Consider the following 18,106-nt stretch of genomic DNA (forward strand, 5'->3'; position numbering starts at 1 on the left):
CCATCCTGACTAACAAGGTGAAACCCCACCTCTACTAAAAATACAAAAATTAGCTGGGCTTGGTGGCGGGCGCCTGTAGTCCCAGCTACTCAGGAGGCTGAGGCAGGAGAATGGCGTGAACCCGGGAGGCAGAGCTTGCAGTGAGCCGAGAATGCACCACTGCACTCCAGCCTGGGCAACAGAGTGAGACTCCGTCTCAAAAAAAAAAAAAAAAAAAAAAAAAAGAAAAGAAAACTGTATGATATAATTGGTTAAAGGTAATGCTTCACTGCACTTTTCTAGTATATCCTTTGCAGGTGGTGAAACAGGTTTTTGTTTTTGTTTTTTGGAGAGTCTTGCGTCTTGCTCTATCGCCCAGTGGTGTGGCCTCGCTCACTGCAACTTCTGCCTCCCGGGATCAAACGATTCTCCTGCCTCAGTTTCCTGAGTGGCTGGAATTACAAGCACTTGCCACCATGTCCAGCTTTTTTTTTTTTTTCTTTTCTTTTTGTACTTTTAGTAGAGATGTGGTTTCGTCATGTTGGCCAGGCTGGTCTGGAACTACCAACCTCAAGTGATCTGCCCACCTCAGCCTCCCAAAGTGCTGGGATTACAGGCGTGAGCCTCTACATCCGGCCAATGAAACAGTTTTTTATCCGACTGCTGGAGGCAACCATGTGCTGCAGTGGATAATAATGCAGATGCTGGAGCTGGACATGATAGGTTTGACTAGCTATGTGACCTTTGGCAAGTAAGCTAACTTCTCGGTTTTCTCACCAATCATAGTAATATTACAGTCAGTGCTCAGGAAATATTGACAGCTAGTATTTTTATTACTTCTAGGTCTAAGAAATACTACACTAGAAAAACTTGTATGTGCACAAGTCACATACAAGGATATTCATTGCAGCAAGCTTTATAACAGTAAAAAAAATCGAAATGTTCGTAAGTTGGGGAAGGGATAAATAAAATGTGACATATTAATATAATAGAATCCTATGCAGTATTAGAGGAACTAGTTCTCTATGTATTAGTTTGGATGGATCTCAAAATTGGAATGTTGAGTGAGCAGGCAAGTTTGCAGAATGACACTTTTGGGATGATACTACCTATAGAAAAGACACATACAGCAATCAATAGTATGAATTTTATATAGGAACATATATGCATTTAGTGGATACTTTTCAATTTGGCTTTTTAACTTTTTAATAATTATAAATAAACAGAAATTGCAAAAAATAGTACAGGGAGGTCCCATGTCCCCTTCATTCAGTTTCCCCCAGTGATAATATATTACATAAGCACAGTTCAATATCAAAACTATTAAATTGACATTGATATAATCCACAACCTCAAATTTCATGTTTTATATGCACTCATTTGTGTGTGTACTTCTATGCAATTTTATCATATATGTAACCACCACCACAGTCAAGATACAGAACTGCTTCATCATTGCAAAGATCCCTCATGCTACCTGTTTATAGTCATATCCATCCCACTCCCTGCCTCCCACATCCTAATGCCTGGCAACCACTAATTTGTTCTCCATCTCTATAATTGTGTCACTTCAAGAATGTTATAGAAATGGAAGTATACAGTATGTCAGTATGTAACTTTCTAAGAATGAGTTTTTAAAAAATTTAGCATAATTACTTTGGGATCTATTCAAGTTGTGTGTATCAATAATTTCTTTCTTTTTATTGCTGTATAGTACTCCATGGGATGAGTGTATCACATTTTGTTTAACCATTCATTCATTGAAGGACAAAAACTGGTTGTTTCCAGTTTTTGGTTATTGCAAATAGAACTGTTATGAACATTCATGCATACATTTCCATGTGAATAAATGTTTTCATTTCTCTGGGGTAAATGCCCAATTGTACAGTTGCTGGGTTGTATGGTAAGTGCACATCAGTTGTACAGTTGCTGAGTTGTATGGTAAGTGTTTAGTTTTATAAGAAATGGTATTTTCCACCCTGAGTGTATCGTTTCATAGGCTGACCAGAAATATATGAGAAATACAGTTTCTGTATTTGGTATTTCAATAGCATTTGGCATTATTTTTAAAAATTTTAGTTATTCTAATATTTTAATAGGTATGTAATGGTATATCGTTGTGGTTTTGTTCATTTTTTTGTTTGTTTTGGAGACAGAGTCTTGCTCCATTGTCCAGGCTAGAGTGCACCTTACAGCTCACTGCAGCCTCAATCTCCTGTGCTCAAGTGATCCTCCCACCTCAGCCTCCCGAGAAGCTGGGACTACAGGTGCATACCACCACGTCCAACTAATATTTAATTTTTTTGTAGAGATGAGGTCTCACTATGTTGCCCATGTTGGTTTCAAACTCCTGGGCTCAAATGATCCTCCCACCTCAGCCCCCCAAGTAGCTGGGATCACAGGTGTGAGCCACCATTCCCGGCTAATTTTTTATTTTTTGTAGAGATGGGGTCCTCACTACGTTGTCTGGGCTGGTCTCCAACTCCTGGGCGCAAATGATTTTTCTGCCTTGGCCTCCTGAAGTGCCGGGATTAAAGGTGTGAGCCACCATGCCCGGCCTCATTGTGGTTTTAATTTGCATTTCCATAATGGCTCATGGTGTTGAACCTCTTTTCATGTGCATCTAATGAGTGTTTTTTTAAATGGTCTCTAAGAACTCATCATGACTTAAGGCAATACTACTTCTTGGGAAAGTGAGAGGAAACTGGGAGTGATACTGGGAAGAAAAAGGGACTCATGGTACATCTAAAATGCTCTATATGTTAAAAAGAGAACAAACTTGGCCGGGCGTGGTTGCTCAGGCCTGCAATCCCAGCACTTTGGGAGGCCGAGGCGGGCAGATCACCTGAGGTCAGGAGTTTGAGACCAGCTTGCACAACGTGGTGAAACCCTGTCTCTACTAAGAATACAAAAATTAGTCGGGCGTGGTGGTGGATGCCTATAATCCCAGCTACTCGGGAGGTTGAGGCAGGAGAATATCTTGAACCCGGGAGGCAGAAGTTGCAGTGAGCTGAGATCAAGCCATTGCACTCCAGCCTGGGCAACAAAAGCAAAACTCCATCTCCAAAAAAAAAAAAAAAAAAAAAAAAAACAGAACTGATAAATGTTTGAGGTGATGGATATCCCAATTACCCTGATGTCATCATTATGTATTGCATGTATGCATCAAAATATCATTGTATCCATGAATATGTACAATTATTATGTATCAATTAAAGAAAAAGAAGTAATCCCCCAGGGAGGTTGACAACATAGACCTTAGGCTTCCAAGCCAATGAAAGAGGCAGGATCTGAGCTTAGTTTTACTAGGCTCTATTTTTATTTCCATAAATACACATATTTTTTATTTTAGACTTGTTTGTTAAGCTTCAAGGCCTGAAACAGCTTGTGAAAAAAAGCTCATTCTGTTCCAGGTACACTGCCTTTGGGGGACTTGGCCATGGAATATATTCCTTTTTAATTTTTCATTAGAGATGTAAATTTATCACTGAACACACAAGTCTTCTGTTTGTTCTCTTTCTTTCTTTTTTTTTTTTTTGAGCTAGAGTCTCACTGTGTCGCCCAGGATGGAGTGCAGTGGTGTGAGCTGGGCTCACTGCAACCTCCACCTCCCAGGCTCAAGCGATTCTCGCGCCTCAGCCACCTAAGTAGCTGAGACCACAGGTGTGCACCATTATGCCTAGCTAATCTTTGTATTTTTAATAGAGACAGCGTTTTGCCGTGTTGGCCAGGGTGGTCTCAAGCTCCTGGGCTCAGGTGATCCGCCCACCTCGACCTCCTAAAGTACTGGGATTACAGGTGTGAGCCACCATGCCTGGTCTGTTCTCTTTTCATTTTTTTTTTTTCTTAAACGGTGTCTTGATATATTGCCCAGGCAGGTCTTGAACTCCTGGGCTTAAGCTATCCTCCCACCTCTGCCTCCCTAAGAGCTGGGATTACAGGTATGAGCCACCACACCCAGACTGTTCTCTTTTCAATTGCAAACTATTATATCAGATTTTAATCACAAAATTGAGACTATAGCATATCTTATTTAGGTTAAAGATTTATAAATTCTGAATTTAATCACATTTTACACATCTTATCTAGATAGTCCAAATGATTCTTAAGTTTAAACATTTGCAATTGCTGTGATCATTTACTTTTCTTTTGGTGATGACAGATCATGTGGAGGTCAGAAGTTCACATTTTGATGTTGAATACTGTTGTCAAGCTTTTTTTTTTCCTTAAAATCACATGAAAAGAGAAACTCAAATTTATTTATTTTTAAAACTAGGGGCACTGGACATTTATTGAAAAGTCAGCTACTAGAAGTCAAACTCTGAGAGCAATAAAAATGATACATCATTGTGTAATAGATCCTATAGGCATAAGTTTTATCATCTATGTGTTTTATTGCATATATGTTTATATTTATAGAAGTGATAGACATTTAATTACAGTGTAGACCTATTATACAACTTACAATAAAACTTAAACAACAGGAGCTTCATTGTTCACTTGTTGGACAGCACATTGGGTCAGCAGGCCTCAAGGACAAAAAAATTAAACTTGGAAGCAAAAGCCTAAAAGAATCAACAGTAAGTGCCTGAGTTTTGGTAGCAACATGTATTAAAATGTTGCAAAGGTTTGTAAAAGTGCTGTTGATGAATTTATAGTAGAGTGTCTTCCGTATTTTATCCAGAAGCCCAAGGGAGCTCTAGGCTTAACATTTAATTAAACAGGATACACTATCATCTTGCAATTTATAGTGTGTAAGGTAATAGAGCCTTGACAAAAGGAGAAACAAAAAGCAAAAAATCTACCACTGTTTATTTAGTACTGAGTATTCCATCCACAACCTACCTACCTACAAATACGTATGCATACGCGTGCGCGCGCACACACACACACACATACACACACGCACGTGTTAGAAAGTTAAATGGTTTAACAAGATTTAGAAAGATGAGCATCAGACCCCTGCCTTATTCCCTCTACTCCTAATTTCTTATTCTCTCTACTCCTAATTTCTGCTCCCATAAGGCAAAAACTTTAACTCCTTTAGTTGTTTCTTCTGATATTTAACTCTCTATTTCTAAACATCCTTATTTGACTATTTCTTGATCTTTTTCAGTGTAGACATCTTCTATTAACCATCTACTGTGGGAGATCATTTAATTATCTTAGGATACCTCCCCAATACACATTTCCTTTCCCCTTATCATCCGAACACCAATATATCATATCGGATTAGACCAGTATTCAATATTTACATTCATACTGAGTCATATAGTCCATAAGATGACATTTCCTTGGTATTACAATTGTATTTATTTATTTATTTATTTTTGACACGGAATCTCACTCTGTCACCCAGACTGGAATGCAGTGGTGGGATCTCGGCTCACGGCAAACTCTGCTTCCCGGGTTCAAGCGCTTCTCCTGCCTCAGCCTCCTGAGTAGCTGGGATTACAGGCGCGTGCCACCATGCCCAGCTAATTTTTGTATTTTTAGTAGAGACAGGGTTTCACCATTTTGGCTCGTCTCGAACTCCTGACCTCCAGTGATCTGCCTGCCTCGGCCTCCCAGTGTGCTGGGATTACAGGTGTGAGCCACACGCACGGCCTATAGTTTTAAAATTTTTTCCTAGACTTAATCATTTCATAGACTTAATCATTTTTCCCTTAGTTTTTCTTTTTTTCTTTTCTTTTTTTTGAGATGGAGTTTCACTCTTGTTGCCTGAGCTTGAGTGCAGTGGCGCGATCTCAACTCACTGCAACCTCCGCCTCCCAGGTTCAAGAGATTCTCCTGCCTCAGCCTCCCGAGTAGCTGGGATTATAGGCGTGCATCACCATGCTCAGCTAATTTTTTGGATTTTCTTTTTTAGTAGAAACAAGGTTTCACCATGTTTGCCAGGCTGGTCTTGAACTCCTGATGTCAGGTGATCTGCCTGCCTCGGCCTCCCAAAGTGCTGGGATTATAGGTGTGAGCCACTGTGCCCGGCCCTTAGTTTTTCTTTGTTCTTGCTATCACTAATTCATCACCAAACTACAAGTATATATTTCTCGAAGTTTTAAAATACATCAGAAAATCTATTGTGTGTGTGAGTGAGAGAGAGAGAGAGAGAAAGAGAGAGAGAGGTTGATTTCCTTCCTTGGGATTTTTGTTCCATCAGCATTCATGGAATTCTTGTCTCCCTCCTGTATTGGATCCCTGGCCTCCTAGTTCCTCTGATTTCATATTTCTTGAGTAACTCCCCCACTTCCCTTCAGTAACTATCTGAGGAAGGCAGCATATCTAGAAAATTGTTTCTAGACTCTTGAAAATAATATTTTATTTTTCTCAAATAATTTTTTATCTCTGCTTTCTGCTCTTTCTTTCTAGAAATAATATTCTGATATTGGTCTGATGAGTTTAGGCTGTCATGCCCATAATCCCAGCACATTGGGAGACCGAGGTGGCAGGATTACTTGAGGCCAGGAGTTCAAAACTGCAGTGAGCTCTGATTGAGCCACTGCACTCCAGCCTGGCTGACAGATCAAGACTCTGTCTCTAAAGAAGGAAAGAAAGAAAAGAAAGAAAGAAAATAAATAAATAAATAAAACACTAAAAATAAAACAAAACCAAAAAAGCCCCACTGATTGGAAGCTGTGTGTTGAAATGCTGAGTCTCGCTGACTAGTGGGTTTCACTGTCAGCAGGGGTTTGACTACTTTTGTTAGGGGACCACCAGCTGTCAGTATCTGCTGATATTGTCTCTGAATAGGTGTTTTTTTTTTTTTTTCTTCACCAAAAGAGAAAGATGAATGAGGTAGGGTGGAAGTGGAAAATTGACTACCGGCTTATTGGGAAGGAGATTAGGTTTCTCACCCTTTGGATATAGACTTCTCATTACCTCCCTGTTTCTAATAAGGCTCTCATCCTCAGATATGCTTGTCCCTGAGAATAGACTGCCTTTTTCTTCAACTAACCTGAGAGTAAAACTGCTCTACTCCATTACAGAGGAGTGGGTCATTGGCTGCAAGGGCTGAAGGAGGTTATTTAAGAGTCCAACTGATTTGGACATATTTTCAACCAGGTCCTTTTCGGGATTCTGCTTCATGAACAGGCTTGCTTTTTTTCCCTCCATTTTCACCTCAGGCATTAAGTTTTCAGCCTTCTAAAGTTTTCTTAGTTAATTGTCATTCCTTCATCTGCTCTCCAGTTTATATTTGCTGATCATCTTCTTTTCTCTCTTTTCCATGTCTTTTTGTCTTCTTGTGGGTTTTGTTTTTTTAAAAAACCCAAAACCTTAGCTGTCACTTTGTTGGAATCAAGGAAAGAGTGGAGAAAATGTGTCATGCTTGACCAGATGTCATTATTTCTCAAAGTCTAGTTTTAAAACAAAACCTGCCAAAGGTATGCCACTCTTACTGGACTAGAAGCTAATGTTATTATGGTTTACAAAGCCCTCCATCTACCATTCTTCCCTTTACTTAGTATACTCTAGTCCCACGGGCCTTCTTCTATTCCTTGAATGAACACACTAAACTAATTTTTTTTATTTCACTCTGTCTTTCTTTTCTTCAAAGCAAAGATCACTAGTTGTCCCCCAATATCCATCCTTCCCTCTTTCTTGGAAATAAAACTCCTAATTATTATCTCGGCACATGGCTATCCAGAACAAAGACTACATTTTCCAGCCTCTCTGACAGGTAAATAGGACTAGCGAAGTTCTAGCTAGTGAGATGGAACTAGAAACACTATAAAATATGGAGCTTCCAGAAACAGTCCCTAAAAGGAAGAAGCTTGCACTTCATCATCTCCATGTCCCAAACCCCACCCCTTCCTCTTTCTTACTGGCTGAGATGTAAAAATGATAAGGGTAGCAAAAACAACCATTATATACTATGAAGCAGAAGCTGTATGATGAAGATGGCAAAGCCATAAGGACAGGAGGCCAGATCCCTGTTGCTGTGGAGTGTCATTCGGCCCTAGAATGTTTACCTACCAACTTCATTTAGGTGGCAGAGAAATAAACATCGATGTTCTAAGACACTGTTACCAGGGTCTTCTGTCGCTCACAGCTGAATCTAACAATGATAAAAGGTTCAGGTTGTGTGCTACCTCCTTAGAGCGGTGTTCCCCATTCTAAGTCACTTTTAATTATTTTTCCTTATAGCACTTCTCATTATCTGAATTTATCACATTTTTTAAGTTTGCTTGTTCAATATGTCTCTCCCAACAAGAATGTAAGCTTCATAAAGGCAAAAACCATGCCCAGGTCCTAGAATGGAGCCTGGCATACCGTGGGTGTTCTGTACATATTTGTTGACTAATAACATCTGGTTGGGTCAGAACCCTACTGGTGTTAGGAAGGGAGGGAGATTCTCTCTCTATCTGCATGGAATAGTTCCAGCCTCTCTGTTCAGATACCACACTTGCCTATCAATTTTCTGATTACGAATTCAACTTTCAAGCGTTTTAAAACCAGAAAATGAGGCTTCTGAAGAGATGGCTCACATCTGTTGGTTAATAAAAGGTATGGGCCAGGCGTGGTGGCTCACATCTGTAATCCCAGCACTTTGGGAGGCCGAGGACGGAGGATTGCTTGAACTTAGGAGTTCAAGACCAGCCTGGCCAACATGGTGAAACCCTGTATCTACAACAACAAAAAACAAAACAAAAAAACAAACAAAAATTAGCTGGGCCTTGGTGGTGCCTGCCTGTAGTCCCAGCTACTGGCTGAAGTGGAAGGATTGTCTCAGCCTAGGAGGCAGAGGTTGCAGTGAGCCGAGATTTCACCACTGCACTCCAGCCTGGGTGACAGAGCCAGACTGTCTGAAATAAATAAATAAATAAATAAATAAATGGAATGTCTTCCATTCTAAATTGATAAATTGGGATGATTATGGTTTATAATTGATTAGGATGCATAGTTTTGGAGGTAAGTAGACAAAGCTATGAACAGCAGTTTTACTGTTTATGGAAGTGTGAACTTGACCAGTTACTTAAATTTGCTGAGCTTTAGTTTTCTCATTTGTTTAAAAAAATAAATAAAAAAACACAAACGAACAAACAAAAAAACCGGAGGGGAATAGTAATATCTGCATTTCAGGACCAATGGGAGTATCAAATGAGACAATCCATGTAAGAGATTAAGCAATTTCCTCAAGGAGAGAGCTAAGAAGTAGGGGGTCCAGGTTTTAAATTCAAGTCTTCGATATGATGCTGGATTCTTAGCTCTTAGCCTCTATATTGTGCCACCACTAAAAAGGCCTCTGTGACTGTCCTTGTCAGAGTTGGATCATCACTTCAACTGGCTTAAAGAGAATATTTTTTTCTCTCTAAAAATCTCAGCTTTATTTGGTGAAGCAAGACTCAGCATTTAGGATTTGGAGTTAGTTCAGTCACAAAATCAGAGTATTTGATATGAAAGATAACTTTTGGATTGGAAAAAGTACTGACAAAATCAATCAATCAAGTTCTAGTCCTAACAGCGGAGCAGCGTATCCCTGAATGAAGTGCTTTAACTTTCATCCCCAAATTTCTTTTCCTGAAATAACATTAATAGCTTTATTGAGATACAATCAACATATCATATAATTCACTCATTTGAAGTGTATAATTCAATGGTAAATTTGTGCAACCATCACCACAATCAATTTTAGAACATTTTCATTATCACAAAATGAAATTTCATACCTGTTAGCAGTCACTCCCCATTTCTCTGCCACCTGCTCCCCCACCTCCCACCCAGTTCAAGCAACCACTAGTCTATTTTCTGTCTTTATAGATTTGCCTATTCTGGAAACTTAATATAAAATTGAATCATACAATATGTGGCCTCTTGCAACCAGCTTCTTTCCCTCAGCACATGTTGTTTTGGAGGTTCATCCATGCTGTGGCATGTATCAGTATTTCATTCCCTTTTATGGCCAAAGATAGTCTATTATATGGATATATGAGCACCACATTTTATCCCCGCACCAGGTAATGGACATTTGGGTTGTTTCCACTTTTTGGGTATTATGATTAATGTTGCTATGAATCTTTGTGTGCAAGTTTTCGTATGGACACATGTTTTCATTTCCCTTGGGTATATACCTAGGAGTAAAATTATTGAGTCATATGGTAAATCTATGTTAAACCTTTCGGGGAACTGCCAGACTGCTTTCCAAAGTGGCTGCACCATTTTGCATTTCCACCAGCAATGCATGAGGGTTCCAGTTTCTCCACACCCTCATTAACATTTACTGTCCTTTGGCTGGGCGCGGTGGCTCACGCCTGTAATCCCAGCACTTTGGGAGGCCGAGGCGGGCGGATCACGAGGCCAGGAGATCGAGACCATACTGGCTAACATGGTGAAACTCCGTCTCTACCAAAAATACAAAAAAAGAAATTAGCCAGGCGTGGTGGCGGGCGCCTGTAGTCCCAGCTACTCGGGAGGCTGAGGCAGGAGGATGGCGTGAATCCGGGAGGCGGAGCTTGCAGTGAGCCGACATCGCGCCACTGCACTCCAGCCTGGGCGACAGAGTGAGACTCCGTCTCAAAAAAAAAAAAAAAAAAAAAAAAAACACAAAAAACATTTACTGTCCTTTTGATGATAGCCAACCTAGTGGGTATGAAATGTAATCTTGCTATTTTGATTTGCATTTACCTGATGGCTAATGATTCGTGTACTTATCGGCCATTTTTATATCTTCTTTGGCCAAATGTCTGCTCAAATGGTTTGGCCCATTTTAAAATTTTGGTTCTTTGTTTTTTTTTTTTATTTTTAGAGTTGGGATGTCACTCTGTCACCCAGACTGGAGTACAGCAGTGGTGTGATAATGGCTCATTGCAGCCTCAAACTCCTGGGCTCAAGTGATGCTCCCAACTTAGCCTCCCGAGTAGCTGGGATTATAGATGCCAGCCACTGTGCCTGGCTATTTTGTTTTGTTTTTTGGTTGTTTTGTTCACTGAGTTGTAAAAGTTCTTTGTATATTCTACATACACGTCCCTTATAGGATATATGATTTGCTGATATTTTCTATCTTTCTGTGAGTTGTCTTTTCACTGTCTTGATGGAGTCATTTGTAGTGCACACATTTTAAATTTTGATGAAGTCCAATTTATCTATTTTTTCTTTTGTTGTTGTACCCTTGATGTTATATCTAAAAATCTATTGCCTAATCTGAAGTCATAAACATTTATACCTATCCCTTCTATGTTTATGATTTTAGCTCTTATATTTAGGTCTTTGATCCATTTTGAGTTAGTTTCTGTAGATGATGTGAGGTGAGAGAGAGATAAAAGAATGAGGGGCCAGGCGCAGGGCTCACACCTATAATCCTAGCACTTTGGGAAGCTGAGGTAGGAGGATCCCTTGAGACCAGGAGTTTGAGACCAGCCTGGCCAACATGGTGAAACCCCATCTCTACTACAAATACAAAAATTAGCTGTATGTGGTGGCACACACCTGTAGTCCCAGCTACTTGGAAGGCTGAGGCAGGAAAACTGCTTGAGCCTGGTAGGTGGAGGTTGTAGTCAGCTGAGATCAGGCTGCTCACTCCAGCCTGGCTGACAGAGCGAGACTTTCATTAACAAACAAACAAAAAAACAAACAAGGCTGGGCGTAGTGGCTCATGCCTGTAATCCCAGCACTTTGGGAGACTGAGGTGGGTGGATCACGAGGTCAGGAGATCGAGACCAGCCTAGCTAACATGGTGAAACCCATCTTTACTAAAAATACAAAAAATTAGCTGGGCATGGTAGCACATGCCTGTAATCCTAGCTACTCAGGAGGCTGAGGCAGGAGAATCGCTTGAACCCAGGAGATGGAGATTGCAGTGAGCCGAGATGATGCCACTGCGCTCCAGCCTGGGTAACAGGGCAAGACTCCATCTCAAAAAAAAAAAAAAAAAAAAAAATAAGAAAAAGAATAACGAATATCACAACTAAAATGTCTACTAAAATTATAGTTTATATTGTACACAAGAAGTGCCTAAGAGTTTTTTTTATTTTAAAAAATCATCAACTAGCTTCAAAACTATAATTCTTCTATTTGAAAGCAACTGGAATGGCTAATAAGGTCAAAACCTATAAGTTTTTGGAAATAAAAAGTTATGAGTTAGGCAAACTGCACTTAGTCATGTTACCTGGTCCAATAAGGCAGCAATTATTAATGGCTGCTAAAACTATTAGGTGACAGGTTCAGTGGGAACTCTGTGATAGATCATGTGATAACACCAGAACCCACTGAATAATTTTAACATCACTAAATGTGGGACACCCAGACATCACATTCCTCCAAATGTGATGCAATGAGAAGTACATGCTGCTGCCTATGAATAATCTTGCCAAAATAACTGAACCTAAACCTAATCAAGTTTCTAGATCTAACTACTAGTTTATAAAAAATATGGAGGTTAGAGGAACAAGAACAATACACTATGGGAACAGTCAGCCAAATCCAGAACATGAGAAATCCTACAGGCCAAATGACCCAGGCTTCAGACAAAAAAAAAGGCATAAAAAAAGAGAGGGGCTAGGTGTGGTGGCTCATGCTTGTAATCCCAACATTTTGGGAGGCTGAGTGGGGAGATCACTTGAGGCCAGGAGTTAAGACCAGCCTGGGCAACACAGCAAGACACCATCTCTCCAAAATAATTTTTAAAGATTAGCTGGGTATGGTGGTACATGCCGGTAGTCCTAGTATTCAGGAGGCTGAGGCGGGAGGATTGCTTGAGTCTAGTTCAACGTTACAGTGAGTTATGATCATGCCACTGCACTCCTGCCTAAGCAACAGAGAGAGACCCTGTCTCAGGAAGAGACAGAGAGAGAGAGAAGAAAGTGTTATAAACTAAAATACAAATATCAAGCAAATGCAATTTGTGAATCTTGTTTAGAATATGATTTAAAAAAAACTTTTTTCATTTATCTTGGGTGTATACCTAGGAGTAAAATTACTGAGTCATATGGTAACTCTATATTAAACCTTTTGGGGAACTGCAAGACTGCTTTCCAAAGTGGCCGCACCATTTTGTAAACTAAAATAGACATATCGGCTGGGAGCAGTGGCTCATGCCTATAATCCCAGCACTTTGGGAGGCCAAGGCGGGTGGATCACCTGAGGTCAAGAGCCTGGCCAATGTGGTGAAAACCCATTTCTACTAAAACTACAGAAATTAGCTGAGTGTGGTGGCATGCGCCTGTACTCTCAGCTATTGAGGAGGCTGACGCAGCAGAATTGCTTGAACCTGCGAGGTGGAGATTGTAGTGAGCCGAGATAGCGCCACTGCACTCCAGCCTGGGTGACAGAGCAAGACTCTATCTCAAAAATAAAATAAAATAAGATAAAATAAAATAGACATATCAAACAAATGTAATTTTTGGACATTGTTTAGAACATTTTTGAGACAATTAGGAAAAACTGGATATGGGCTATTAGCCAATAAGAAATTACTGTAAATTTTGTTAGTTATAATAAAGGCATTGTAATTGTTTTATTATCTCTTTTTTTTTTGGAGACAGAGTCTCACTCTGTCACCCAGACTGGAGTGCAGTGGCACCATCTCAGCTCACTACAACATCTGTCTCCTGGTTCAAGCGATTCTCCTGCCTCAGCCTCTGGAGTAGCTAGGATTACAGGCACGTGCCACCACACCAAGCTAATTTTTGTATTTTTAGCAGAGATAGAGTTTCACCATGTTGACCAGGCTGGTCTCGTACTCCTGACCTCAGGTGACCCACCTGCCTTGGCCTCCCAAAGTGCTGGGATTACAGGCATGAGCCATCGCACCTGGCAGGTATTGAAATTGTTTTAAGTGTGTTTATCAGTAGAACTACCATATGATCCAGCAATCCCCACTGCGAGGTATACATCCCTAGAAAGGAATCAGTATATTGGAGAGATATCTGCACTCTCATGTTTACTGCGGCACTATTCACAATAGCCAAGATAGGGAATCAACCTAAGTGTCCATCAATGGATGAATGGATAAAGAAAATGCAGTACACATACACAATCGAGTACTATTCAGCCATAAAGAAGAATGAGATCCTGTCATGTGCAACAACATAGATGGAGCTGGAGGACATTATGCTAAGTGAAATGATCCAGGGACAGAAAGACAAATATTACATATTCTCACTTACATATGGGAGGTAAAATAGTAGATACCATGGAGATAGAGAATAGAATGGTCGTTATCAGAGTCTGGGAAGGGAAACTGGGGAGGGCGAAGACAAAGAGAAATTAGTTAATTGTCAAAAAAATACAGTTAGATAGAAGTTCTAGTATTTGAAAATACAATAGGGAAATTATAGTTGACAATATTTTATCATATATTTCAAAATAGCTAGAAAAGAATAATTGTATTGTTCTCAGGCTGGGCATGGTGGCTCATACCTGTATTCCCAGATCCAAGTGAGATGATAGAATCCCTCCCAAAAAGTCCTTCCTAGGCCAGGTGCAGTGGCTTACACCTGTAATCCTAACACGTTGGGATTGGGAGGGAGGATCCCAATGAGATGAGGATCACTTGAGGCCAGGAGTTGGGGACCAACCTGGTTAACATAGCGAGACCCAATCTCTCTCTCTCTCTCCCTCTCTCTTTCTCTCTCTCTCCCCCTCCCTCTTTCCTTTTTTTTTCTTTTCTTTCTTTCTCTCTCTCTCTTTCTTTCTTGCTCTCCCTCTTTCTTTTTCTTTCCTTTTTTTTTTTTTTTTTTTGAGACAGGGTCTCACTCTGTCACCCAGGCTGGAGTGCTGTGGGGTGATTTCAGCTCACTACAACCTCTGCCTCCCAGGCCAATCAGCTAATTTTTGTATTTTTAATAGAGATGGGGTTTCACCATGTTGGCTAGACTGGTATTGAATTTCTGGCCTCCACTGATCCACCTGCCTTGGCCTCCCCAAGTGCTGGCATTGCAGGCATGAGCCACCGTGCCCAGCCACAATCTCTATTTCTTTTAAATACAATAAAATAAAAAACAATAAAATTATAATAAAAAAGTCATTCCTGAGTAGGATGACTCGGGTTAAGAATGACTTAGGTTTTCATGATAGATCTGGAGTTTCCAAAACTCTGGGTAAACAGAGCTCAGGCTTTGAGGACAGGCACACCTGTGTCTAATCCTGCTTCTGCTACATGATAGGTACATTTGGGCAGGTAACTTAAATTTTTTAAAGCCTTATTGGAGTTACAACATGAAATTTACACATCTCAAAATTTACCTATTACAAGTGTGCAGTTTATTTTTAGTAAATTTTTATGGTTGTGTAACCATTACCAAAATCTAGTTTTAGTATTCCATCAATCCGTAAAGTTGTCCCATGCCCATCTGCAGCCAAACCTGGCTTCCAGTTTCAGCCCCAGCAATCACTAACCTGCTTTCTGTATCTATAATCTTGCTTTTTCTATATTTGTGATTTTCCTATGAAATCACAGTCTTTTTATCTGCTATAGTGTTTTTTTACTTTCATCCATGTTACAGCATGTATTGGTTTATTTTTATCACCAAATATTCTATTGTATGGCTGTACTACATATTGTTTACTCATTCACAAACTGATAAGACATTTGAATAGTTTCCACTTTTTGCCTATTATGAGTAATTCTGCAATGGACATGTAGGTATGAGTCCATGGACATATGTTTTCATTTCTTTTAGGTATATACCTAGGCGTGAAATTGCTGGGTTATATGGCAATTTATGCTTAATTTTTTAAAAAACTGTCAAACTGCTTTCCAAAGTGCCTGTACCATTTTACATTCTCACCAGGAATGTAGGAGTGTTTGTTTCTCCACATTCTTGCCAAACTTGTTTTCCATTTTTTTTTGTTTTATTTTGTTTTGTTTGTTTTTGAGACGGAGTCTCGCTGTCACCCAGGCTGGAGTGCAGTGGCACGATCTCCGCTCACTGCAATCTCTGCCTCCCAGGTTTAAGCGATTCTCCTGCCTGAGCCTCCCAAGTAGCAGGGATTACAGGCACCTGCCACCACGCCCGGCTAATTTTTGTATTTTTTAGTAGAGACGGGGTTTCACCATGTTGGGTCAGGCTGGTCTCAAACTCCTGACCTGAAGTGAGCCACTCGCCTTGGCTTCCCAAAGTGTTGGGATTACAGGTGTGAGCCACCTAGCCCCGCCAAAACTTGTTTTCTATTTTTCTGATTATAGCCATTCTAGTGGGTATTAAGTGTTATCTTATTATGCTTTCAATGTGCATTTCTCTAATGATTAATGATGATGAATATCTTTTTATGTACTTATTTGCCATTCATAAATCTTCTTTGGTAAAATATCTATTCAAATATTTTCTTCTAGTTCATGGCTTTTCTTTTTCTTTTTCTTTTTTTTTTTTTTTTTTGAGATGGAGTTATGCTCTGTTGCCCAGGCTGGAGTGCAGTGGCATGATTTTGGCTCACTGCAACCTTTGCCTCCTGGATTTAAGCAATTCTCCTGCCTCAGCCTCCCAAGTAGCTGGGATTGCAGGTGCCCGCCACCACGCCCAGCTAATTTTTGTATTTAGTAGAGATGGGGTTTCACCATGTTGGCGAGGCTGGTCTCAAACTCCTGACCTCAGGTGATCCACTCGCCTCAGTCTCCCAAAGTGCTGGAATTACAGGCGTGAGCCACTGCGCCCGGCCCTTTTGCTTTATTTTCTACTTTTTTTTTAATTGCTTGTTGCCTAAGACAGACCAAGATTTTTTGTTTTTGTTTTCTTCTTCTTTTTTTTTTTTTTTTTTTTTTAGATAGGGTCTGGCTGTCACCCAGGCTGTAGCGTAGTAGCGCAATCTCAGCTCACTGCAAATTCTGCCTCCTGGGCTCAAACCATCTTCCCACCTCTGCCTCCCAAGTAGCTGGGACTATATGCACAGCTAATTTTTGTATTTTTTGTAGAGATGGGGTTTCACCATCTGGCCTAGGCTGGTCTTGAACTCCTGAGCTCAAGCGATCCACCCACCTTGGTCTCCCAAAGTGCTGGGATTACAGATGTGAGCCATTGTCCCAGTCTAGATTTTTTGTTTCAATACATGAACTAAAAGCTTTAAATTTCTATTATGTCAACTATCAATTTTTTCTTTTATAGATCACGATTTTAGCGTCATATCTAAGCAAACTTTGCTTAACTTAATATCAAAAGATTTTCCTCTTTTTCTTCTGAAATTTATAGTTTTAGCTTTTATATTTAGGTCTATGATCCACTTAAATCAATTTTTATGTGTGATGTGAGGTAAGAATCAAAGTTCTTTTTTTTCCCTCCCACATCATTCATTGAAAAGATTACCCTTTCCCCATGGATTGTTTTAGCACCATTGTTGAAAATCAACTGACCATAATGTAAAGGTTTATTTGTGGACTATTTGATTCCATTGATCGATATATCTGCCTCTATGCCAGTATTACAGTCTTCATTACTGTAGCTTTATAATAAGTTTTGAATTCAGGTAGTGGAAGTTCTCCATCTTTTTCTGTTTCGAAATCCTTTTATTCTGGTTCCTTTTCATTTCATATAAATTTTAGGGCCAAACTTGCCAATTTTTTTTTTTTTTTTTTGAGACAGAGTCTTGCTCTCACCAGGCTGGAGTGCAGTGGCACGATCTCTGTCACTGCAACCTCTGCTTCCCGGGTTCAAGCGATTCTCCTGCCTCAGCTTCCTGAGTGGCTGGGATTACAGGCGCGTGCCAACACGCCCAGCTAATTTTTGTATTTTTAGTAGAGACGGGGTTTTGCCATGTTGGTCAGCCTTGTCTTGAACTCCTGATCTCAGGTGATTTGCCCTCCTTGGCCTCCCCAAGTGCTGGGATTACAGGCGTGAGCCACCGCGCCCGGAATAATGTTCTTTCTTTAAAAATACAAATTAGCAATCCCCTTAATTCCACAAAGAGGAAAAGTAAAAGAACACAGAAATGCTTGAGTTCAATTTGCTGAGACCAATAAAATGCACTTTCAAGAAAACTGCACAGCACTAGCATTGGAGGCCACAAAAATAAGATACGGACTCTATACTCAAGGAATTTATGAACAAATAAATTTTTCTGCTGGCTGAGGTACTTCTCTGACTGTTAAAGCAGGTAAAACGAAGAAATGTTCCTCCGAGACTTCCTACCTATTCTAACCTCTCAAACTTCTAATTGCAACAATGGCAGCTTTATTTTTATCTTAATATTTATGTGTTGAGGG

The 18,106-nt window shown here is 40.1% G+C and overlaps 1 long non-coding RNA gene across 1 annotated transcript in view; it reads right to left on the minus strand.

Annotated features, from left to right (window-relative positions):
* Positions 1 to 18,106, minus strand: part of LOC124907779 (uncharacterized) — a 38,010-nt gene that overhangs the window by 18,799 nt on the left and 1,105 nt on the right. The window lies entirely within an intron of this gene.

The sequence above is a fragment of the Homo sapiens genome, chromosome 2 (assembly GCF_000001405.40).
Source record: "Homo sapiens chromosome 2, GRCh38.p14 Primary Assembly".
Taxonomy (NCBI): Eukaryota; Metazoa; Chordata; class Mammalia; order Primates; family Hominidae; genus Homo; species Homo sapiens.